Source organism: Homo sapiens, chromosome 11 (assembly GCF_000001405.40).
Source record: "Homo sapiens chromosome 11, GRCh38.p14 Primary Assembly".
NCBI lineage: Eukaryota > Metazoa > Chordata > Mammalia > Primates > Hominidae > Homo > Homo sapiens.
The window spans coordinates 86888214-86914975 of NC_000011.10; the positions used below are offsets into that span (position 1 = coordinate 86888214).

The 26762-nt window shown below is 41.4% G+C and overlaps 1 protein-coding gene and 1 long non-coding RNA gene across 4 annotated transcripts in view, besides 1 other annotated feature; one reads left to right on the plus strand and one right to left on the minus strand.

The window, feature by feature from the left end:
- The window catches only part of PRSS23 (serine protease 23), a 161840-nt gene that overhangs the window by 97143 nt on the left and 37935 nt on the right, over positions 1–26762 (plus strand). The window lies entirely within an intron of this gene.
- Positions 134–26762, minus strand: part of PRSS23-AS1 (PRSS23 antisense RNA 1) — a 50139-nt gene continuing 23510 nt past the window's right edge. The window contains exons 3-4 of the long non-coding RNA NR_187135.1: positions 8200–8327; positions 134–1461 (exon numbers count right to left, since the gene is read on the minus strand). This is a non-coding gene — a long non-coding RNA (PRSS23 antisense RNA 1). The remainder of the gene's footprint in view (positions 1462–8199; positions 8328–26762) is intronic.
- Positions 8280–8480: a silencer, noted in NCBI's record as "peak1380 fragment used in MPRA reporter construct". NCBI's record gives its function as "represses an SCP1 promoter by STARR-seq MPRAs in K562 erythroleukemia cells {active_cell/tissue: K562}" and the evidence as "EXISTENCE:reporter gene assay evidence [ECO:0000049][PMID:32103011]".

Genomic DNA, 26762 nt, shown 5'->3' on the forward strand with positions numbered 1-26762 from the left:
TTTGAACAGGACCTTGAAAGATAACAAACCTCTATGCAGTCAAGGGGAATTTTAAAAGACTAGACTATTTTCTAAGAGGAAGAAAGAACACATGCTATTGTTTGCTTTTCTCCAGAGTGTAGGGAGTACTCCATAAGGAACAATCACTTTATTGTCTTATAATAAATCGTGGACACTTGGTATTTGCCATATTTCAACAACTGGGGGTAAATCCTCTAAGGAGAATCACTCTAAATCCAAGCACTTCACCCTCTGAAAGGCTTGTCATGGGGCAAAAGAAATGGTCCTTTGAATTCACATGTCATACAATCCCCGCCAGAAAAACATGTGTATGGGGAAGGCAGCCTGTGTTCGGTGGAGTTACATGTAAGAAACAGATGTTTTGCTGTATTCTGAGAGACTGTTGGTCATTCCTGAGAAATTGTTGAGAGATTGCATGATCATTTCTGAGCCATGTCTCCTAAGACTTAAAGGAGAGCCCCATCTGTAAATCCTAGTAGCAGGCATTTGTGTCTAAACCACAGGAATTCTATCTTCAGGTTCCAACACTGGGGTGTTTGAAACTGAGAAGGTAACTTCATGCTGATAGCACAGTTACCAACCAGATGCTTCAAAGCTGGAGGATCCAACTGAATTGCTTCAAAAGTTTTCTGGTTCCTAGCGCTGCCTAGCAGATGGCAAGTTTGCCCCTGGGAACTTGCTGCCGGGGTGAAGTAATGTCTTTTTGCAGTTACTGTCTCATTGTTTTTAATGAGTGTTGATGTGATGCACAAATGCACCTTATAGAGCCCTGATCACTCATGGTGGGGATGTGCCTGTTCCTAATCCTTGGGAGGGGCAGTTTTAGGAAATGACAAGGAAGTGAAAATGATTCTTTCTGCCCATCTCTGCTAACAACTAGCAGTGGTTAAGCAGCCTTTGATGAGTCCTTTGGTTACTCAAACAAACCTGGTATGTAGAGCAGGCACTGCCAGAGCCTCATGGCCTTTTTGTACGGGAGTGGTGTACAGTTCAGCAGATAGGCACAGCAAACTCCTCTTCTGCCATTCAGATCAGGGACCTCTGAAATCCACAGATGGGGCAATTTGGGCCCTGTCTTAGTCTGTTCCTATGGCAGTAACAAAATACCTGAGACTGGGTCATTTATAAAGAACAGAAATATATTTCTTATAGTTCTGGAGGCTGGAAGTCCAAAATCAAGGCATTAGCAGGTTTGGTGTCTTGCAAGAATGTGGTCTCTGCATCCAAAATGGTGCTGTGTTGCTGCATCTTCCAGAGGGCATGCTGTATTCCCACAAGGTGGAAGGAATGGAAGGAGCAAAAAAGGGACTGAATGCACTCCATCAAGTCTTTTTATAAGGGTGATCCCATCCATGAGGCAGAGCCTTCGTGGCCTAATCAGCTCCTAAAGGCCACACCTCTTGATACTGTTGCATTGTGGATTATGGTTCAACATGAATTCTGGAGGGACATAAACATTCAAACCATCACAGATCCCTCGTGCCTAGAACTCTGGGGGAAGAGGCTGAACACTCAGCTTCACCTGTCACTCCGAGACTTATCCATCAGAAATGTCAAATCCTGAATATGACCATTCAGTAACAGAAATCTCCCTTCCCTTCTTTCTCTGATGTGCAGTAGTTCTGCCTGTTAGAATCATCTGGAGAGCTTGTTAAAAATACCAATGTCAGGAGCTCGACCCTAGAGATTCAAATTTAACTGATCTGGTGTGGGACCTGGAAATCCTCTATTTTTTAAAAGTTCCCCAGTTGAGGCCAGGTGCGGTGGCTCACGCCTGAGTCCCAGCACTTTGGGAAGCCGAGGCGTGTGGATCACTTGAGGTCAGGAGTTCGAGACCAGCCTGGCCAACATGGTGAAACTCCATCTCTACTAAAAATACAAAAAAAATTAGCCAGGTGTGGTGGTGCACACCTGTAATCCTAGCTACTCAGAGGCTGAGGCATGAGAATCCTTTGAACCTGGGAGGCGGACATCGCAGTGAGCTGAGATCATGCCACTGCACTCCAGCCTGGACAACAGAGTGAGATTCCATCTCCAAAAAAAAAAAATTTCCCCAGTTGAGTCTAATGGGCAGCTAACATTAAGAAGCATTGCCCTGGAATCTCATACCTCAGCATAAAGCATAGAATTTCTAGCCATCTTTATGCCAGAACAAAAGTTTACATCAGCTGTTGATAACACCAGTGAAAAAATATGATTAATAATAATTGCTTAAATTGTATCCATGTAGGGTAAATGCACCTGATAGCAATAACTTAAGCATACCCTTAGACTGACCCTGTATGGCAGACACATCTGAATGTGTGTTCCAAACTAGGGAATTCGGGAGTGGCCAACCCAGAAATTATTCCTTGTTTATGAAGAACATCTGAGCCCCTGGCCTGAACCATGGAAGTGAAACACGGGCTGTACACGGGATTGAGGCCCTAAGTTTTAGGTTAAATGAAGGTTGCCAGGTGGAGGTCATTAGGGGAAGGTGTTAAGTGAAAATGCTATATAAACTGCATGCTGTTTGCAAGTGGTTGCAGTTTCCTGCTTAGCCCAATGCCACTGGGCCATGTGGTTATGTTGTCCAGCCCACCACCACTGGACTTTCTCTTCTGTGTGTAAGCCCTTAATAAAACCCCTTATCTTCTTTGCTGACTCTTGGTCTCTTCTTCAGCCTCTTGAACCTGGTGCTCTCCCTATTAAGGTTAATCAGGGTTCAGAACAACAACCAGTTAGTAATTTATAGTTTGCCATCTTCAAAATGCCTTTTGGTTCGGTGAGATAAAGTGGCTAACCAGGAGTAAGCAGGTGGTATGTGCCAGGGCTTGGTCTAAAACACCTAATTATTTGAGCTCAACTCCTTCCACTGTTCCACCCCCAGCTCCTCAATTGCCAAGCCTGTTTTCTGTAATCAGACTGAGCCTGTGAGACATTTACAGCCGGCTCTCCACCACTGGACTGAAGCAGAACAGCGAGGTAATTATCTGAATAATTCAGGTAATGGCAGTTTATTTTCCCTAAATTACCTGGATAATTACCTCAAGCCTAATAAGATGGAGAGAAGCCAGAGCCACATTCTGATGGTTTTATTGCCCCCTCAGTAATGCTTTCTTGTTTAAAGGTCCTGACTTAAAGAAATCATTTGTTGGAGCTTGTGTCTTCCTTATTTGCCACAGGGTATTCCATAAATCATCTGGGAAAGGTACCAGTGTGTAATTATCCAACTCCTGTGCCTGTTGAAAGCTCCTCCAGGCTGAGGAGCACAGCTATCCTGGATTCCTGATGTGTTCTCTGAGTTTTGGGGAGTCATTAGCTCAGGTAATGAGGTGACAAAGAGGAAATCTTTTGGGTGTTAGATTTTTGTTTCTCCTTTTCTTTTTGTGTTCTTTCCCACATTTCTTAAACTAAATAACCAAACATTTCGCACTACGTCTGCTATGGTTTTCCTGTGTCCCCATCCAAAATCTCATCTTGAATTGTAATCCCCATAATCCCCACGTTACAAGGGACCAGGTGGAGGTAATTGAATCATGGGGGCAGTTTCCCCCATGCTGTTCTTGTGCTAGTGAGTGAGTTCTCACGAGATCTGATGGTTTTCTAAGTGTTTGGTAGTTCCTCCTGCGTTCATTCTCCTTCCTGCTGCCTTGTGAATAAGGTGCGCTTCCCCTTCACCTTCCACCATGACTGGAAGTTTCCTGAGGCCTCCCCAGCCATGCCAAACTGTGAGTTAATTAAACCTTTTTCCTTTATAAATGACCTAGTCTCAAGCAGTTCTTTATAGCAGTGTGAAAACAGACTGATACAACATCCTATTTTCCTGTGCTGAACTTGATCTGTAAAATAGAGCACCTTGTCCAAGAGACAAGACCCGGGCTTTCACATCAAGCCTCATAGCCAGAAACTGGGGAACCCAAAGCCAACTAATGGGACAGGAGCTTCCTTGTTCTGCTGCTATCACTATTTGCCTTGTTAAAATGACCAAATGTCTCACAGGAAGAGGTGTCTATCTCTTTCCGAAAGAGAATTCCTCCTCTGGGACACTTGGTCATCTCTCTGTAGCCTTACTTCATTGTCACTCCCTCTCTTTTCTCTCTCTGCCATCTTTGCTGTGCACTGGCTCCTTCCAGATAGGATTAAGTCTTCTCCATCCCTGTAAGTAGAAAGTGAAGAATTGAATGAGATTGGGCGGGAGCTGGCCATGGCTGAGAGTTGATGGAATGACAATATTAGGAGATGGAAAGAAGAAAATAGAGGCCAGAAAATGCAGCCAAGTCAGATACACCAGATCAATGCAGCGATATGGAAGCAAAGGGAGATGAAGTTCCAAATACACATGATATGATGGAAAACCATGTGTTTGGAATTGAATACTGGCTGCTCAGCTCTCTAGCTGTGTGATAATCTTTAAAACTGACATATTATTAAAACCCACCTCCTAAGGCTTTATAAGATTGAATTATTTGTTGCATGTAAAATTACTTGAATAAATTTTATACTTATTAATTATTAATATTATTATTGCCAAAAAGGGAAATGTAGCCAGCTTTGTTAAATGCTTCCTGGAATCAGAGTGAAAAAGGTACTAGGGGTCTTCTAGTCCTATGTTTGAAAGTTTTGAGACCTCTTCTCATAATAAGAAAAACAATTCACACCGTGATCAAGAATTTACATATATATATGTAGTGGGTTGAATATTGTCCCCCAAAATTTATGTCTACACTGACCCTTGGAATGTGGCCTTATCTGGAAATAGGGTCTTTGCAGATATAATTTAGGTAAAGATCAAGATAAGATCACAATGGGTTAGAGTGGGGCCTAAATCCAATGGCTGTGTCCTTAGACAGAAAAGGGCACAGAGAGAAGATGCTGTGAAGATGAAAACAGAGATTGCAGTTATGCTAACACCAGCCAGGGAATGCCAGGCTAATTCACTAATTCACTAGAAGTTAGAAGAGTCTAGAAAGCATTCTCCCCTAGAGCTTTCAAAGAGAGCTTAGTCCTGCCACACCTTGATTTCAGACTTCTGGCCTCCAGAAGTATGAGAGAATAAACTTCTAATGTTCTAAGCCACCCAGTTTGTGGTAATGTGTTATGGCAGCCCTAGTAAACTAATACATATAAGTATCTGAATCCAAAGCTTCGCAAATTATACTTACTGTGTGTTATGCACTATGATAAATCCTATTAATGCTGGCTGTAAACCACTAAATTGATTTCCGACCCACTTATTTGTTGTGACTCATGATTGGGAGAAACATTGTTCTGCTATGTCTCTCATTAAGGATGAATGATGACTGAGAAAAAAATCTTTGGATTTGGTTTAAGAGTCAACGCTGGTCCTCATGGAAATAATTAAGGTAGGATGGCAGGAGCTATCTACTTAGCACAGAGATGTGATCATTATAGATAGGTAGATAGAAATAGATGGATAGATATAGATATATACATGCATTGTATATTTTGTGCCCAAAATAGCAGTGGCTTAAATAAAAGTATATTCTTCTTGTTAAAAATTTTTTTTAAATAAAGGTAAATTATTTACTCTCATACAAATATAAAATGAATACACGTCAAAGATTTTAACTCATTAACTAATGAAGGAACCAGTAAGATATTACTATCAGCTCAAAGGAGAATTTAAAGTACCCCACTTATAGAGGTCAATCAGGAATACTGAAGTGAATTTACAAATAGATGTAAAACTGGCTTTTTCCAAGGGGCAGAAATAGAGTGGGAGTAAAGGGGGGAATCAATTCACTGGACAGAATTTGTCTTCCGTTTTTGTTTGTTTGTTTTTGTTTTTGTTTTTGAGATGGAATCTCACTCTGTCGCCCAGGCTGGAGTGCAGTGGCACAATCTTGGCTCACTGCAACCTCCGCCTCCTGGATTCAAGCAATTCTCCTGCCTCAGCGTCCCAAGTAGCTGGGATTACAGACATGTGCCACCACGCCTGGCTAATTTTTGTATTTTTGAGATGAGGTTTCACCATGTTGTCCAAGCTGGTCTCAAACTCCTGACCTCAAGTGATCTGCCCGCCTTGGCCTCTCAAAGTGCTGAGATTACAGGCATGAGCCACTGTGCCCAGCCAGAATTTGTTTGCATATGGAAAAGAAATCATCTTTGCCCTGCTAGCAGTTCTCTACAACTTACAGAGTTGTAAAATATTTCAAAGACAATGAATGTTAGAGGTAACCTGGCTGGGTAAGCTACTCAGGGCACCCAAGAATCTTTTTGTTGCCCATTTCAAGACCCTTTGCAATTTTTCCTGGCACTCTCTTATATAATCACATGAGAGTAAGTATTCTAGAACTCCCATGGCAGCTCCCAGTGTCAAGGGACCAGTGCCTTCCATCTTATTGCTTCTCCATTTCTAGGGTGACACCTTCATGTCTGGCAATGTAGGGAAGGAGAGGTAGTAGGAACAGGAAGGGAAAATCAAGCTGAAGAAAGGACTAACCTTTACCGGTCGTTGTCTTTATCTTCAAAGCTCACAGTGCAGATGCCATCCCCTCTATGCAGCCTTGCCTAATCACCATAGCTAAAATCTCTTTCTCCCCTAAACTCTCATGTCCCTTGATGTATGCCCTTCTTCCTTATCACTATTTGTGTATATGTCTTATCTCTTCTGTAGGCTCTAAGGTATCTCATTTATGTTTTTAATGCTCATAGCTTCTAGTACACTGCCCTGCCCAAAGGTGACATTTTATTCAGTTATTACCTTCCTCTCTATTGAGCTGTCTTCAGGACAAAGCCAAAGAAAGGATCTAGTATTTTTCCTCCCCTTTCAATAACACAGAGAGTTACCAGTACTCTTTCTTTGATGACATTACAGTGAGACTTCAGATCATGAGTTTGAGAATTCTGGCTTTTAAGTCCTATTCCATTTTGATATACAGTAACATATAAAGATTTAATCAAATATAAGGATTTAATCAAATAATTAAACATCTATTCTACCCAGGACAGTATGGCATATTAGAAAGTGAGACAAATTTTGAATACCACAGACCAAGGTACAGATCCTGGTCCTGCTACTCACTGACATATGTGAACTTCTGTGAGTCACTTAACTTCTCTGGGCTTCTGCTTTCACCTTCACTAAATGAGGATAATAAATCCAGCTTGCAAGGTTATGATGACATATGAGCCTATTGTATACACAATGTCTATCATAAATTCAGTGGCATTCATTAATATTAGAATACTAAACTGAGAATATCTGGATTTTTTACTGTATTTATCCTTTATTTTATCCTTTTTTTTTTTTTTTTTTTTTTGAGATAGGGTCTCACTCTTGCCCAGGCTGGAGTACAGTGATGTGATCTTGGCTCACTGCAGCCTTGACCTCTTGGGCTCAAGTGATCCTCCCACCTCAGCCTCCTAAGTAGCTGGGACCACAAGCACATACTACCATGCCCAGCTAATTTTTATATTTTCTATAGAGATGGGGTTTCACCATGTTGCCCAGGCTGCTCTCGAACTCCTGGGCTCAAGTGATCGGCCCACTTTGGCTGCCCAAAGTGCCGGGACTACAGGTGTGAACCACCGTGCCTGGCCTGTATTCACCTTTTTTAACCAGGTGTTTTGCACTATTGTGTAGCCACAGCTATAATTAGCAGAAGGTAAGTCAAATTCATGTCAATTACGGCCAGATATGAAGATGAATTAACAAATGCATCTGATCAGTCCATCCAAAATTTCAGTCAAATTATCAGGAAGTATATAATTTGTATAACACAACTAACTGTTCATCTTTCTGTGAAGTGTACTCACTTCACAGTGGGGACAGGCTTATGGCAGTAGCTGTACAACTTTGAAAATCTGCCTTTGTCTCTTATTTATTTTGAAATGGGGGTCTTTTTAAACTCCTTAAAACTTGAAGTAAGTCTCAGAGACCCCAACTAAAACTACCAATTAAGTTTGCACAGGAAATTTTATTTTCCAAATGTAATTACAGGGCAGATATTTCAGGATGTATATATGTGATAGTATTTTAATAATTTGTTGAGCCTTAAGGTACAGTATCAAATACTGCTCATTCCTACCAGTTTGGAGGGGAGGGGTGGAAAAGATAGGGAAGCAGAATGGAATGACTTATTCAACTTTCCAATTCTTTAATATAGCATTGACCTTTGTAAAAAAAAAAAAACACACATATACACATGCACATAAACAAGGACTCCCATTTACCTTATTTTCCATTTTAAATTATAGTACCCAGTCATTCGTCTTTGTCACGATCCACCAAATAGTTTTGTAAGAACGTGTTTCATACAAGCTCTCTTTCAGCATCAGCCAGGAAGGTTAAGGTTTAGATCCTGCATGATAGAAACCCTTTTTGTAATTCTCCCCCAAACATCTGTTCAGTCACTCATCATTAACATCTGTCACCCATTTCTGGGCTCAACCCAGACAAAGCTATGTTTTTCTGTTTATCTAACGAACTCCATTTCAAATTGTTACCAAGTGATTCCTACTCAGACTAATCTTACACAAGGATTGAGAAGATGTCTTCTTGGATCAAATTCATCTTCCACTAATGCAGCGTCTACCCTGAAGCCTTGGCAAAAGCCCAATGGCTCAGAGGAAGGGAAATTCTTCATAACATGCTAACACTTTCCTGCCTGGAAATGTTACATTGAAAACTTCTAATTCTCTTTAACTTTCCAGGGTTAACAAAACGCCATCCTATACATCTTATACATATGTATATCTTTAACTTCAGCCCATCATTTACCCTATACAAGCCCCAGCAGGGCCGCTTTGCAAACCAGCTGAAATAAGAACATAAGAAATGATTTTTTAAATACATGGCCCAATTATTTGCATAAAATGGCTAATAAATATTGGTTCATTTGGAAAGGCAATGCAATGTTTAAAAATATGTAGAGAGACCTGAATTGAGATCTTGGAAAATCACCTCTAAGTCAGGTAACCTTGGATACTTTAGTTAATGGCCCTGGGCCCTCATCTACTTAAAGGAAAAATGGATTCCTTATAGAATTAAAGAGTTAAAAGAACTGTTGCACATAAAGTGCTTTTTTTATTTTAAATTTCTTAGACAGAGACAGGGCCTCACTATATTGCCCAGGCTGGTCTGAAACTCCTGGCCTCAAGCAATCCTCCCAACTTGGCCTACTCTCAACGTGCTGGAATTACAGGAGTGAGCCACCATGCCTGGCCAACATAAAGTACTTGACACAGTGCCTGGCACATAGTAAACAACTCAGTTTATAGTAACTCTTTATTTATTTACTTATTTAATTGAGATACAAAGTCTTGCTCTGTCACTCAGGTTGGAGTGCAGTGGCATAATCATATCTCACTGCAGCCTCAAACTACTGGGCTCAAGTAATCCTCCTGCCTCAGCCTCCTGAGTGGCTAGAATTATAAGCATGCACCCCTGGCTAGTTTTTTTTTGTTTGTTTGTTATAAATACTGGGTCTTGCTGTTGCCCAGGCTAGTTTCAAACTCCTGGCCTCAAGTGATCCTCCTGCCCTGGGCTTTGGTTGCTGGGATTATGGTGTGAGCCACCACACCTGACCAGTTTATGGTAACTCTTGCCATCATCATCTTCAAAGAAGAAAAAGAGCAGAATGGTTTTACCTTGCTCTTTGCGCTCAGCATCTCCTTTTTCTTATTTCTGTTTAACCAGTATTTATTGAGAGCCTCTTATGGGCTAAAAACTGTGCCAAATAACATGAAAGAGGCAAATTCCTTGTCCTCAAGGAGCTCTCCCTGGAGAAGATAGATAGATCTAGACTCTACTTCGAATCAGATGCTAGTAAGTGCTCTCATTTTAAAAGTAACATTCCCCACAGATTACTTGAGGATGTTTTAACACCAAATCTCTGATTTTCTTATTAGAAATCTTTAATTGGAGGCTCATCTTACACAGTAAGTTTAGGAATTTAAACCCCAGGGCAGATATTTCATTTCGATGAGAACCTAATGGTTATAATCTAGGTCAGTGTTTATAATGTCAATAGTGCAGTGAGGAGGAGAAGGGTTTTCACCTCTATTTCCATGGATTTTAGAAACAATCATAGTGAAGAAGGCCCCTAAAACTGAACCAGATGGGACAAGTGAATTATTATAACTTATTTATTTCCTTCAATAAATATAGTATAAAAAGTATTTCAGAAAGCTCCCATAACCCATTAGAGTCTATTTGATATATAAGGATGCTAAATATTAATGTTGATATTTTTTGTTGAGGATCAGAATGCCAAGGACTCATTTTCTGTTGAATGTAGTCAATAAGGAAGGAGTCTCTTTGAGAATTCCATTATGACCATAGCTATTTGTCACTTTCCTCATTGTCTGGGGAAAGGACAAATGAAGCGGAGCACCTTTCAGAGCTACAGTTCTCTGCTGTTGTTCCTTCATGGGTCCCTGTCCTTGGGACATATGTCTTGTGAATAAAATATGTGTCACACTGAAGATGTGATAAGTGTGCTGAGACCACACAAAGAAACTGACTCCATCAGCAGAGGGTGATGGGGTGAGCAGAGGCTTTCCAGGCAGAGGGAATTGCATGCGGTGTGCATATCTCTTCTCTGAACCTTCATTTCCTGGCCTCTACATGGAGAAAACAAGGCACACCTCTCTGGGTGCCCAGAAGCACTTACATATATTGTCTGGTAGTCATGGGCACTCATCTATGTTAATTTGTTTGTGGCACAGAGTTACTGGACTAGGTAGTGATCAGAAACCAAGCCCAGGTATTCTGAGCACTAGGTCATGCAGGTTCCAGGGCATCACTCTACTTCCAGGCACACCCAGAAGACAAAGTGTATGTGCAAGTCTCAGCTGACCTGCCACCATGTTCATAGGGTAAAGTTGGGAAGTATTTGTCCCACAACCTTCAAACCCCACCTGCTTCAACAAACCCTGGCCTGGCCAGCATGCATTCCTGTGCTGATCCCTTCCCCAACCCCACACCCCACTCATGGTGCACTGCTAGGGGAGAATCAAGCTAAGTCTTCACAAGTCAAGAAAAAAATACTACCCTGGCCAGGCGTGGCTTCTCACACCTGTAATACCAGAACTTTGGGAGGCTGAAGGGGGCAGATTGCATAAGCTAAGGAGTTTGAGACCAGCCTGGGCAATATGGCAAAACCCCATCTCTACAAAACATACAAAAATTAGCCAGGTATGGCAGCTCGCACCTGTAGTCCCAGCTACTTGGGGGGCAGAGGCGAGAGGATCACCTGAGACTGGGAGGTTGAGGCAGCAGTGAGTTGAGATCATGCTACTGTACTCCAGCCTGGGCAACAAAGTGAGACCCCGTTTCTTTTTTTTTTTTTTGAGACAGAGTCTCGCTCTGTCACCCAGGCTGGCGTGCAGTGGCACGATCTTGGCTCACTGCAAGCTCTGCCTCCCAGGTTCACACCATTCTCTTGCCTAAGCCTCCCAAGTAGCTGGGACTACAGATGCCCGCCACCATGCCTGGCTAATTTTTTTCTATTTTTCAGTAGAGACAGGGTTTCACCATGTTAGCCAGGATGGTCTCGATCGCCTGACCTCGTGATCCACCTGCCTCGGCCTCCCAAAGTGCTGGGATTACAGGCATGAGCCACCAAGTCCGGCCGCGAGACCCCATTTCTTAAAAAAAAAAAAAATACTACCCCAAGGGAGGCCTCAGCCATGAAGTAAATTGGGAAGAGAAACACATAAGTGACAAGTGACACTGAAAAGGCTAGATTTTTAAAAGATGTTTTTAGTTGTCTTTAAAAAAAAAAATCCAAAGGCAAATCTGATAACCAAAGAACGCATGGTCTATGATGGAGGGAAGTAGGAAATTGAGTTAGATGAGGGAAGGAGCTGACTAAATGCCTCTTTGAAAATAGAGATGTTTCTGAGTCAATGGACCTGAAGGACATGTTTCCTGAGATACTTAATGCCAAATGTGTTCTTTTCACTTAAGACTGGTATCTTGTTCTCTAAGTTGTTGAGATCTTCAATACTTGATTTATTATTTCCTCCTCAATGCTTTCCTCTCCTCTAATTGTAGACACTTTGCACTTGGTTTCAAGGTCTGTAAACTGCATTCTGCCTCCCAGGCGGGACATTTGGTACAGGGAGGCAGGAGGAGGAAGCGGCTTGCATGTGCCCGTATGCTCAGGCTCTGTGCCCACCTTGCAATATGCATTTGATGACTCAGGCTGTGTACTGCTTTTCTTAAATGCATATCTGATCCATTCTGCACACAGAATTCAGAGATATTTTGTAATGTAAGCAGATCATACTACTTTTCTGCTTGCCACCTGCCTGTGACTTCCCACTGTACTCAGAATGAAATCCACATTCTTTACCAGGTGCTACAGGGCCCTGCATGGTCTGGCTCTGAGCCACCTCACCACGCTCATTTTGTGCCACTCTTCCCCACCATGACTATGTCACACCTGTGTTTGCCTCTGACAGTATATAGGCGGCATCCTCTTCTTTTCAGCTCAGAGTCTACACATATGCTGCTCCCTCTCCCTGGAATCTCTTTCTCAGACTCTGCCTGGCTAGTACCCACTCCTTCAAATTTCAGCATTATTATCTCTCTCTCTTTTTTTTTTTTTTTTTTTTTGAGACGGAGTCTCGCTCTGTCGCCCAGGCTGGAGTGCAGTGATGCGATCTCGGCTCACTGCAACCTCTGCCTCCCAGGTTCAAGCGATTCTCCTGCCTCAACCTCCCAAGTAGCTAGGACTACAGGCACCCACCACCACACCTAGCTAACTTTTGTATTTTTAGTAGAGATGGGGTTTCACCATGTTGGCCAGGCTGGTCTCGAACTCCTAACCTCAGGTGGTCCGCCCACCTCAGCCTCCCAAAGTGCTGGGATTACAGGCATGAGCAACCATACCCGGCTTATCATCTCTTTCTTAAAGAGGTCTTCCCTGTCTCCCAATCCAAATTAGGCCCACCACTATTGTACATTCATAACAGCCTAGTCTTTTCCTTATTAACACTTTGTTATTTGTGAGGTTATTTGCCAAATGTCTGACACCCTACACCTGATGGAGAGTAAACCTCATGGGGACATTGACCAATATGCACCTATTTTATCTACATTATATACCAAGAACCGAAAACAGCTCTTGTCCCAGCAGAGGGCATGATAAATGTTTAGAGAATAAATGAATGGCTGGCTTGAACAAAACTACCATCTTTTCTATTCCTGCTGTCGGAACTGAAAGAGTAGAGGTGGCCTGTATACCTCATCTCATAACAGAATACCAAATTATTAAAAGTGCCTGAAACCAAATTGAATTACAGTCAAAATGGTAGGTTGACTGTCTTCTGCTTCTAGCCAAGGAGATGCTAAGAAGGGAGGTCACTGGTCTAAAAAGTTATAAAGGACTTTGAGGAAAAGAAGGTGCATTTATCAAAACCAGAAAGCCTCTAATTCAAAGTCTCTTGAGAGGGCCGATCACCTACATATATAGTCATACAGTCATTCACATAAATGCCAAAATGTCAGAATTTAAAGCTGGCATTTGGAAGGGAATTAGCTGTACCTCCAGAGAAACCCGGACCCTACAGACCTTGCTCACATAGTATAGTATTTTCCAGCGTTATCCTGAGAAGCCCAGCTGTTCCCATAACTAAAGACAATTTCCAGTCATTCCTTTGGTTTTCCACTAATTATACATTATTATCATAATGGCATGTCAAGCCATGGTCATTTATGAAAACCAGGGTACTTCTGGGGGAAAATAGATAAAAAGGAAACTCATGTCTCTGTCTCTACTGAACCAGGCATGGGTGATCCTTCAAGGTAGAAACTGGGTGTTGCTCATCTTTGCTTACCTGGAGCCTAGAATGGTGCTGAGCACAGAGTAGATTGTCAATTCATGTCTACTGAATGTCTACATAGATGATGGATAGATGGGAGTGTGTCTAAGCAATTTGTGGAGTTTTCTTTCACTGAAATAAAGTTGACCCTTAGAATATTCATTTAGGAAGATTATGTACTTATAAACTGAGCCACCTGTGCTCAGAAACTATAGGGACATTCTCTACAACCCCTCCCCTAAAACCTTATCTATTTGCTCCCAATTTCTACTGCTCTATTTAGACTCAGCATGTCTTCTGACCTTTGGCAATATCTCCCAGCTGGAGTCTTCTCTATCCTTGGACTAGGCATTGGTACTTAATTTTTTTCTTTCTTAAGACCTGTTATTCAGCTTATCTCATTCTTATCTTTGGATGACCTAGATAAGGGTCCTCACCCAAGCTTCGGCCACTTCAGGTGTACCTGGCTTTCTGTCAGACCAAGACTTCTGAAACAGATTTTAAAGAGAGATGCCCTAGAAATTGGATAATTGGTGAGCTGCCACCAGATAACAGCTAACAGGCATGATATCATACATCTAGCTATCAAACTACTTCCAGATGTGGATAACTGAGGAGAAAAGATTAGTGTACATGATGCTACTACCTATGTTTTTTCTAGAAAGACAGTTTAAAAAAATCCAAAGCAAGATGTAAACAACATGATATCAAGACACAGACTGGTGCTTACTTTTTCTGCTCTCTGCTAATTCCACACTGCTTCATTCAGCTACTTTATGTTTTCAAGCCTGAATTGAAAATGTCTTCCCTTCTTCCCAAGGATCAAAGATGAATATAATCGTAGTTAAGATCTTGGATTGTGGACTCTGGAAGGCCAGTGTGGAAATTCTGAGTCTACCACTAAGTAGCATGGGCAAGCTATCTAACCTCTTCAGGCCTTAGTGTTCTCTCCAAAATATGAAAAATAACAGCACAGAGGGAAATTGCTCACTGGAATGTCCAGGACCTTACCTGTCCTGGATGAATGATATTTCCAACACTTAGATATCTTCAAAAGAACTTTTCCTGCTACCATTTGATCCAGGTCTTGCATCTTCTGGATATATTTCTTCCTTCTTTCCTTCCTACCTTTCTTTTTTCTTTCCCCTCCCCACTGCCCTGTGTTTATCTGTATGTTCTTACCTACTACATGGATTAAGGGATGGATGTCTAGTGTCAATTTCCACAATCACAGTTAAAAGGTATAAAAAATATGATATCCAGCAAAATATAAACAAACAATAATCATCCCAGCTTCTGTTTTACAAGCTACAGGTCACAAGGTCACTGCAATCATGCATAATGGTTCATACCCCACTAGCGATGTATGGGCTGAGCCTCTGGCATGCCCACTGGTCATTTACAACCCAGCCCTATACAGTACCACAACACCAAGTTGTTCCTTAAGTATTGTAATTTTTAACATACAATCTTTTTTTTTTTTTTTTTTTGAGACGGAGTCTCGCTCTGTTGCCCAGGCTCGAGTGCAGTGGTGTGATCTCGGCTCACTGCAACCTCCACCTCCTGGGTTCATGCCATTCTCCTGCCTCAGCCTCCTGAGTAGCTGGGACTACAGGTGCCCACCACCACTCCTGGCTAATTTTTTTGTATTTTTAGTAGAGTTGGGGTTTCACTGTGTTAGCCAGGATGGTCTTGATCTCCTGACCTCATGATCCACCTGCCTCGGCCTCCCAAAGTGCTGGGATTACAGACATGAGCCACCACTCCCGGACTACATATAATCTTTTAAAATCTTTTTGAACAATTAAAATGCTTACTTCCAGACCCCTGGGTAAGTGACTTATTTATTCTACCTCCCTCATGATCTTGAAGTGAGGATTAAGATAGATAAAGTGTGTAAACCACCTGGTGTATGACCTGGCATAGGCAGGGTAAGCAATAATTTAGAATGTGCTGAAATAGGGCTGCTTGAATTGATAGCTTTTGCTTCTGAAGGCTTTTTCTAATAGCTTCAGAGAAAAATAAATCTAAAACCTTCTCACTATGGCTGGAATGAGGTAAATCAGGGATAGCATATAGGTCTGAACATGCACACTCACTCTACAAACAGTCACCTGGAGTACAAATAAAGCTGCAGAAAAGACTTCTGTGCTCACTTAGCACTGGCCACTGTGGACCCAGGTTGAAGGAATGACAACATGGGTGCTGTGTATTTGCTGTCCTTGCTGTTGTGATAAGCACATAGGGCTGCCAGTTAGAAAACCTGGATTTTAGTCCTGCCCCACCTAGACACATCACCTCCAGCAAATCACCCAAGTCGAGACTGATTTCCTCATCTGCTTCCGTCCCCATCTTGCATGTTGTATCCTAGTAATCATGAACTGCTTGTGGTTCTAGCAGTTTAGTCCCTTGGCTTTCCTTTGCCTGGAGTACCCATCTTATCCTTCTAACTCCCACAAGTCTTACCCTTCAGCTTCTAGCTCAAGCAGTGCCTTTCCCAGGAAGCCTTTCTCAACTCCCAGGTGGTGCTATGTACCCCAACTCTAAATACCCGCCCACCTGAGCATTATTCCTCTATTCTATGGGCTAGCAAACTTTTTCTATAAATGTTCAATAGTCAATACTTTAGGCTCTGTAGGCCGGATAGCCTCTGTCACAACTATTACACTAAACTCTGCCATTGTAGCACAAAAGCATCTGTGGACAACATATAAATAAATGAGTAAAGCTGTGTCCCAGTAAAACTTTACCACTGGGCCAGATATGGTGGCTCATGCCTGTAATCCCAGAATCTTGGGAGTCTGAGGCAGGAGGATTGCTTGAGGCCAAAAGTTTAAGACTAGCCTGAGCAACATATTGAGATCCATTTCCACCAAAAAAAAAAAAAAAGTTTTAATTAGCAGGGCCTGGTGGTGCATGCCTGTAGTCCCAGCTACTTGGGAGGCTGAGATGGGAAGATCCTTTGAGCCTGAGTGTTAGAGGCTGCAGTGAGCTATGGTTATACCACTGTACTTCAGTCTGGGGGACAGAGTTAGACCCTGTCTCAAAACAGCAACAAAACAAAAACAAAAAAACCCATTTATTTTCAAAAACAGATGTTGGGCTTGATCTACCCTATCAGGTAACATGTCATACCGAAATGATCCATGTGCATATCTTTCTCTTTCACTAGACTGTGCGCTAAAGGCAGAGATAGGCCTTCCTTCTCTTTGTACCTCTAATATTCAGCACATAGTGGCTATTCAATAACTGAAGTAACAATGCTGGAAAATTGGAATAATAATCTCTTTCTGGCTATTCCACAGGGCTATGGGTTTTAAGCATGATAAAGCATGTGAAAGCCCAGGACAGTGATAAGGCACCATTCAAACGTATGGTGCTCTTCCTACGGCACATCATTGATACTCTTGCTCTAGCCTCTTCAGGAGGTGGAGAGTCATATATGAATCTGTTATTTCCCGCCACAAGCAGACACAAAATAAAATGCCAGCTAAAAACCTCACTCCTTTCAGATTCAACTTCTAAGAAATGAATCATTAGGTCATATGCTGAGTTGAAGCATATTAAACCATCCAGAAGTCCTGAAGCTACCCTGAAAGGCATAAAAAGTCTCACAATGTCTGCCTCCCTTTCTTTAAGGTTTTCTTTAACAAATACCTTCACACTTTTCCAGAAGGTGTCAATATTTACATCTGCTGAGTTTGCTGTCAAGCTTAATAGAAGGCAGGAATAGACGTCTGAGTCCCCAAGGTGTGGACACAGAACTCAGAGAAGTCCCACTCATCTGGGGTTTCTGCTCACTATGCAATGCTGCTCTTACCTGAAAACATGACCCCTTTGCACCAACCCGCTGTGACCAACACAACGGTGAAAATTCTGTACAGATGTGAACAAATGGAGTGAACAAAGAAGGTGAGGATGAAAGATGAGATCTCCTGATCTTGCTGGTGCCCTAGGCCCATCCCCACTGATGACATTCATTCACTCATTCACTCATTCATTCATTCATTCAACAATTATCTTGAGAGCCTACTCCAAGCCAAATTGTGCTGAGAATTCATTGCCTTTGTAGAGAGAACAAGGCACCACAGGGATTTCTCAGGCGCACTATTGCCTTGCAGGAAGGGCCAGGGCCTGGCGGGGCCGGGGGGCGGGGGCAAGAGGAAAGCTAATACCTCTAATATTGTCTGCCAGTCAGAAGGCCACACCGGGATTGGAAAGGGAAGGGTTCCCGGGCCTTCTCCACCCTTGTGCCCAGGAAACCAAACCTCGCAGCTATTGTTTTCATCGAAACCCTAAGCCATGGGCTCGGCTGCGGCCTCTCAAAGGCCCCCACCAGCGCCACCCTCAGCTCTTCGCCCAGGATCCCCCTGAGGCTGCGCCCTCCGCCTGGTACTCGCTTTCGCCCAGCTGCCCGCCCCTGCGCCACCCCGGCGCACCTTAGGGGCTGGAGGCTGGCTCGGCGAGGTTGTAGCTGGGACCGCGAGGTTGCCCCCCATCTAATCAGCCCCGCAGTGCCTCGCCAACTCCGGAAGATTTCAAGGAGTTGTGCCTGATAGTTTGCCACGAATCTCCAAATGCTGAACTACCAGTTTCCTCCATACCCTGCATTTCCCAGAGGTAGAGCTGAGGTCCAGGGACAGCACTGCTGCCCAAAATAACACTGCTGGTTAGTGGCACAATGAGGCCCAAACCCAAGGTCCTCTATCACTAGCACTAATGACAACAAAAGCAATGTCTATTTAGGGAGCGCTTGCCATATGCTAGGCCCTGTGAACATTTTAGGTACGTTATTTCATTCATTCTTCTCAGCCACAACCAGAGATGGCATTTGTATCTCTGTACAAATTAAGGCACCGAGAAATTAAACAGTGCCTGAACAGCAATAAGCAGTAAGTAGCAGGGAGAGGTTTCCATCCATTTTACCCGGTGATAGATTCCGGCTGATGTCAGGGAACTCATTCTCTGTCGTGTGCATACCTGGCTGTTAACAAACTTTGGTATACTTTAAGATGCTTAAAAGGAATGAGCTGCGTTGTTTTTATTTGTGTACATCCAGGGGACAGAATACCATTGCTGGCCTAAACTGGGCCCAATTAATGATTTTTTTGGTCTTGCTATTCACATAAAACATGAATAAAAACATCTTGTAGTGTATATACGTACATGTATATTTTTGTATTGTATCTACTTTTTGTTATATAGATTGACTGATGGATAATGTTGGACATATGCCTAGAAAGAAAAACTGTTCGCTGTAGCATCCTCATGCATAACACTGAACCTGGCACATTCTAAGTGTATGATAAATGTTTATTGAACAAATTAATGATTTTTTTTTCAATCAAAATGTTAGCAGTGGTGTTAGGGAAATTGTCATTTTAAAAATACTTTTCTATAGGGAACTTTTTTAAAATTGTGGTAAGAGCACTTAACATGAGATCTATCCTCTTAACAATTTTTTGTGTTTTTTTGAGACAGGGTATCACTCTGTCACCCAGGCTAGAGCACACTGTGCCATCATGGCTCCCTGCAGCCTCTTGGGCTCTAGCAGTCCCCCCATCTTAGCCTCCCGAGTAGCTGAGACTGCAGGTGTACACCACCACGCCCAGATAATTTTTGTATTTTTCGTAGAGACAGAGTCCCTCTGTGTTGCCCAGGCTGGTCTCAAGCTCTTGGGCTGAAGTGATCCGCCTGCCTTAACCTCCCAAAATGCTGGGATTTCAGGTGTGAGCCACCACGCTGGCCTTAACAAATTTTCAAGTGCATAGTGCCGTCGTTTTAACTGTAAGTGCAATGTTGTAGAGCAGTTCTCTAGAACTTATCCAGCTGCATAACTGAAACTTTATACCCAGTTGAATAGCAGCTCTATTTTTCCCTACCCCCAGTGCCTGCAACCACCATCTATTCTCTGCTCCTACAAGTTTGACTATTTCAGATTCCTCGTCAGTGGGAATCACGCAGTAGTTGTCCTGTGACTGGCTTATGTCACTTAGCATAATGTCCTCAAGATTCATTCATGTTGTTGCATATGGCAGGATTTCCTTCCTTTTTAAGGCTGAAAAATATCCCATTGTATGTATATGACACATTTTCTTTATCTACAGACATTTAGGTTGTTTCCACATGTCAGCTATTGTGAATAATGCTGCAATGAACATGGGAGTGCAAGATCCTGATTTCAATTCTTTTTAATAAATACCCAGAAGTGGGATTATTGATTGGATCACATGGTAATTCTATTTTTAATTTTTTAAGGAAACTCCATACTGCTTTCCATAGCAGCTTCACCATTTTGCATTCTCACCAACAATGTACAAGGAAACACATATTTTTAATAATCAAAATATGTACATATCTATAATTTTGGCCTTTTGGAAAACAAGTCCAAAGTCACAGGAGTTCATGAAGGTGTTCACAGTCTTCAGTCAGTTTACTCCTACAGATTGATCCCAGGGAGGAACAGGAGGAAATAAGAAATGCCCTTGGGCTGTCCCAGAAACCTGCTGCTTCCTTGCAGCCACTTCCTAGGACTCACTGGTCCAGTGTGAGGGAAGCAATTGGATAAATGATGCTAGTTCAACACTATGGGATACTGTGTAGCTACTCCATAATAGTAATTACAGAAACTTTGCGGTCCATATAATCTGTAGAAACATGGAAAATGTTTATTAGGTAATAATAAACATTTTTAGGTTAACTGAAAAATATCAGACGTGAAAGTGGTGTGAGGGGGGTGGGGTTTATATAATTCATTGTTATTTTCATTTTCAACTATTGTAATGGTTTCTATCCTTGTTCATCAGAGTGTGGCCCACTCAAGCAGCAGCAATATCAGCTAGGTTCACCCTGGAGCTCGTTAGAAATGCAGAATTTTTAGCCCCACTCCAGATCTACCAAACCAAAATTTGCATTTTATCAAGATTCCCAAGTGATTCGTATGTGCCTTATGGCTTATCTTTTTCTTTTTTTTTTTTTTAATGTATTTGTTGAAGGAGCTCCTTAATTTGGTCTTCAAGCCATCTACAGATGAGGGGATAAGATTTAAGTTAAGTGACTTAACCAGAGTTGTGCACCATGTAATGTCAGCTGTCAAGCCCAAGTCCCCTGATTCTGAGGCTACAGCTAAATTCAGGCTAGCCACAGCCTGCCTGGCCTTGTGTTTCTGTGCCAGGCCTTCCTCCATATGGCCTGAGGTGGCCCACCCACTGTCACCTTCCTTAGGCTAAACAGCATGGGCAGTGACTACCATCAACAAGGGCCCCTATTTCAGTAAAAAGAGGACAGGCTGAGGTTTCTGAAAACATTCCTGTCTCTCCCATGGGTTCCTGATAGCACTCCCCTGAACCCAATCCAAGGGGCTGAGGATTCGTGTTTGTGAGCCACCTTGGAGTGGTGGAGATGAAAGTAAGCAGGGCAGAGGGCCACCGCACATCAATTGAAGCCACCTGGCTCTCATCTAGTTCAACTGCATCCATTTTCAGAAGAAGAAACATACCCGGAGAGGGAAGTGACTTGCCTTAAGCAACAAAGCTAAATTCAAGGCTAAGAGGAGAGGCTGGCATAGAGGGCAACCCGGATATGGGAATTCAGGGTAGTGTGGTTGGGAGCACCTGAAAAGACACCTGCCATGTGGGGAAAGAACAGGGATGTCCAGAGTACTCCCTGAAGAACAGGTGTGTAGTATCCTCCCATAATGCTGTGATCCTTTGTCATTAATGTACCCCTTTCTAAGCAAAAGTTTATCCTAGCTCTCCGCACTGAGAAAGGCTTGCTCCCTGTCCTGTGTGTTGTGCATCCTCAAGTGCCTTTACCCTCGTCAACCACTGACAAAGCAGAATGAGAGTCATCTGAAAGGTGGATTTAAATAAATAAAATTAACTCTTTAGTTAAGGTCTGCTGAAAAGGCATGATTTTATTGCACACTCACAATATGACAGGTGCTGTGCTACTCATCAACACTCTTTTCAAAACAGGATTTGGAGACAGGATTCTTCAAAAGAGAACTGCACATTCAACTAAACATGTCCAAAAAACTTCAACTCTTTTGAATTAGTCTCCAAATCTACACAAACCATAGAAAATAGAAGATCATTAAAATACATGATTATACACAGACAAATGGACAAATGAAACAGTAATTAATATTGCTTGAGCTCAGATTGCTCCTGTAAGATCTGCAGAAATCGTATGATGGGGTAAGGTTTTCTAGAACAATATTTCATCAGGAGATAATGGCAGTATCTCATTAGACTAAAAGGAGATGATAGATGCTGGAAGATCAGTTTTCATACAGCTCTTCTCTGTTCATAATAATACTGTGCACCTTCTCCAAATGACAAAGAAGTAAATTCATACTCCATCAAAATAACCTCAAAACAGTGAGCCATTTCAGGGTTTTAAAAATTAGTCCAGAATTGTTTGGCCCCCGTAAAAAGACTCTGCTACAAAACTTAGATTGCACGTAGGTAGAATATGTTTTAGTATTTTGCAGGTAAAAAATAACATATGGTTAACTATAAACAAGGAATATACGTGCAAAGTATTTATATCCTTAACATTTGCTACTCAAAGGTAATTTCTAAAGTATGTAGAATGAGCTAATTTTTTTTAAATAAAAAAAGCCTTCCTTGAAGTGCCCGCTTTTGGCATTCTAAATATTCTCTCTCTCAGACACACACACTCTCCATCCACTTCCTCTCTAATCATGGTGTATAGATGCAAGCAGTATCGTTGGTTCTATGACAATACTTTTAAAACTACAAAACCAAGTTCTCCCACTTTAATAGATGATACATTTGTTTGTTTTCCCATTATGTGACTCATCTATTAGAGTGGGAGAAAGGTTTTTGGTTTTTTTTTAAACGCTGTGCTCCCAGCAATAAGGATAGTCAATGGCACAAAATAGGTGTTCAATGAATAATTAATTCACAGTGAATTCTCTTACCTTTGCTCTCCTATATCTTCTAAATGTCCCATGTATGATTTTTATAATAAGAAGTAAAAATAATAAGTTATTTTTAGAAGTACCAGAATCTCAAAGTGACCAGTATGGATCATTACATGATGAGTTCTAAAGGGTAAAGATTTCCTTATTTGTCATCACGTCCTCAGTACCTGCCCCCAAGTAGGTGACTAAACAAGTTTCATGATTAGATGAATAAATTAATTAGGGAATGATTGAATTATAAATAAAAAAGAGCAGGAGAGTATTTTATATATAATTAGCTTATAAGGAATCCTATCCCTTTCCACCACATCACTTTCTTTTTAAATTATTTTTATATAGAAATATTTTAATTTACTTTTTATTATTATAAATACATGGGGTACATGTGCAGGTTTGTTACGTGAGTATATTGCATAATGCTGATGTTTGGGCTTCAAGTGAACTCATCACCCAAATAGTGAACATAGTACCCCAAAACTTCCAACAGGTAGTTTTTCAACCCTGGCCTCCTTCCATCCTCCTCCCTTTTGGAGTCTCCAGTATCTAATATTTCCATCTTTATGTGCATATGTACCCATTGATTAGCTTCCACTTATAATTGAGAACATGCAGTATCGGATTTTGTTTGTGAGTTATTTCACTTAGGATAATAGCCACCAGCTGCATCCATGTGGCTATGACATGATTTCATTCTTTTTCACATCACATCACTTTCAAATTTGTTTTTGTAGTTTTAAAAGTATTGTCATAGAACCAACAATATTGCTTGCATCTATACACCATGATTAGAAACGAAGTGGAGTGTGTGTGTGTGTGTGTGTGTGTGAGTGTGACAGGGTCTTGCTCTGTTACCCAGGCTGGAGTGCAATGGCATGATCTCAGCTCACTGCAGCCTCAACCTCCTAGGTCCAAGCAATCCTCCCACTTCAGTAGCTCAGTGGTCAGTAGCTCAGACCACAAGCATGTGCCACCATGCCCAGCTAATTTTTTTATTTTTGCAGAGACAGGGTTTCCCTATGTTGCCCAGACTGGTCTTGAACTCCTGGGCTCAAGCATTCCTCCCGCCTCGGCCTCTCAAAGTGTTGGGATTACAGGCATGAGCCATTGCACCTGGCCAAAAAGTGGATTTTAAAATGTTTTTGTATATGCATCTCCAGATTGGTGAAAATAAGAAAGAGGGTGGTGATAAGCAGAAAAAGACAAGACAAGAAGGTTTTGCACCAAAAGATTATAGACATAACCATAGGCTTTGTTGTCATTGTTGTTACTGTTGTTTACTACTGAATTATGTGATGGTTATCTTTGTACTTACCCTATTGGAGATTCATTAAACTTCTTAAATCTGAGAACATATGCATTTCATTACATTTGGAAAGCTTTTAGATATAATTTCTTCAAAAATGTCTTCTGCCCCATTTTCTAGCTTCTAGTCTTTGGGACTCCAATTGCACACGTTAGGCCTTTGATATTGGCCTACTTTCCCTGAGGCTCTGTTCATTTTTTTTCCAATTTTTCTTCTCTCTGTTCTGCAAGTCAGTGATTTCTACTGACTGCTCTTCAAGTTCACTAACCCTTTCTTCTGTCATCTACAATTTACTGTGAAGTTCAATCAGGGAATTTTTTATTTCTCATATTGCATTTTTTGTATATGATTCAATTCCATTTGGTTCTTTTTTTAATTTCTATTTCTCTAGTGTAATTTCCTATTTGTTAATTCATTATAAGTCTATTCTCATGTCCTTAACCACGGTTATAATAACTACTTTAAAATTCTCGTCAACTAATTCCAACATATGGTTCATCTCAGAGCTTGTCTCTATTAGCCCTTTCTCTTAAATATGAGTCATGTTTCCCTGTTTCTTTATAATAATTTTGGATTATGTCTTGGACATTGTGAGTGATATGTTGTAAGGACTCTGTCTTTTGTTACATTCATCCAAAAAGTGTTATTTTTATTTGTTTGTTTGTTTTAGCCAGTAATTAACATGGCTAAATTCAATCTCTATCTCTCACTAAAACAGACACCAAGTGAAATCTCTGTTTAGTTGTTTTGGCCTTAGTTGGGCTGCTTGACGTCTGTCTTACACATGCATAGTTCAGAGAATTGCCAGAGACTTAGGTAGAGTTTTATACATAAAATTTTGGGCTCCCTTTCCATTGTTTTATCCTTTCTTGGATCCTCCTGCCCTTGATCCCAATTTACAGCTGCTATAGTTACCCTGAATGCTTCCCTCTTATTCTTCTATTTGGTAAGACTGCATCTATCTGCATTTTAGCTGCCCTGCTTAGTACTCACTGGGGTCTGCCCTCAGGCAAAAAAAAAAAAAAAAACCTATTAAAAATGCATATTTCACACATGATAGTCTTTTTGTCCAAATGCTGGCTCTTGTCTAGCGTTTGTTTTTGGTTCTTCTCCATAGCCTTCAGGTTTGTATTGGTGTTTTTTTTTTTTTCAATAGTCTACTGTTTTTATTTGTGGAAGGGTTGGTCTTATAGGAACTATTCTGCCAGTAGCAGAAGTGGAAACTCAGATTTCCATATTTTAGAAAGTATTCTAAAGGAGTGTTGAGAATGGATCTGAAATGAGACTAGGGATAGAGAAACCAGTCAGGATATATAGCAGCCACCCAGGGAAAAGGTAATGAGAGTTCACAGAACAGCAGCAATCAAGTGCAATGAAAGTTTGTATTTGCAAGCTCCAGACTCTTAAATTCCAACTCTGCAGTAAAATAGCTAAAAACAGTCTGAACTAAAATATCAAGAGTTTTTGGATAGAGATGTAGGTTGTGGTGAGAGGGGAGGCAATGATCTTGAGTGGTATTTTCCTATGAAGTGTGAGAAGGGAAGTGGACCAGAGGTTGAACCCTGGAGAAGAGGCAGGGAGTGATAGGACAACAGGGTAGCTAAGAAAAGTCAGAGAAGCTGGAAACTGGTTGTGATGACACTGAGACTAGAAAGTTGTGGCCAGACCCGGTAGCTTATGCCTGTAATCCAAATGTTTTCGGAGGCTGAGGCGGGTGGATCACCTGAGGTCAGGAGTTTGAGACCGGCCTGACGAATGTGGTGAAACACCATCTCTACTAAAAAAAAAAAAAAAAAAACCTCAAAGATTAGCCAGACACAGACGTGGTGGCGTGTGCCTGTAGTCCCAGCTACTCAGGAGGCTGAAGCAGGAGAATTGCTTGAACCCAGGAGACAGAGGTTGCAGCAAGCCGAGATCGTGCCACTACACTCCAGCCTGGGTGACAGAGTGAGACTCCATCTCAAAAAACAAAAAACAACAAAAGAAAGAAAGTTGCAAAAGGAGTGTTACTGATTAATAACATTGAATGCCTCAAATTAATCAGGTAAGCTGAGGTCCAAAAAACTCCCATTGGATTTGCAATTGGAAAGTCACTGGTGACCTTTGTGAGAACAATTTCAGATGGTGGAAAAGGCACATTGGAGAGGGTTAAAAAGTGAATGGAAGGTGAGGAAGAGCACAGCATCCTATGTCATAGATGCCTTCAAAGCATTTCACTCGATTTCCCTTGTTCTTTTTCCACATAAAATTTCTACAAATTTCATAATCGTGTATCACACAATTTTCAAAAAATGTAATTAATCTATATTTTGTTTCAGTTTTTATGTGACTGTCTTTGAAAAAAGTACCATCTGATTGTTCTTTCAAAATAACAGAAATAAACAGTTGGAAAAAAGGATTATAATGTGGCAGAACCTTTTTTCCCCTTTTTAGTTGACATGTAATCATTGCACATATAAAAACTTTCAATAATTCTGATTTGAATGTGTTAAGTTTCAAAACATCTGAGTGGGTGTCAATTAAACTGTTCCAAGTCTGGAATTTAGAAGAGAGTTTTAAGCCTTATACATTTTTTAAAAGTTTAATATCCTGTTTAGAATGTACTGAGTTGCTGAGAGCATCTCAGATTTTGAAAAAGTTTCAGAATATAAATGGGAATACAAATGGGGCACAAATAACCACGAGGGCTTTAGTGAGTGTATCAGGATTCAG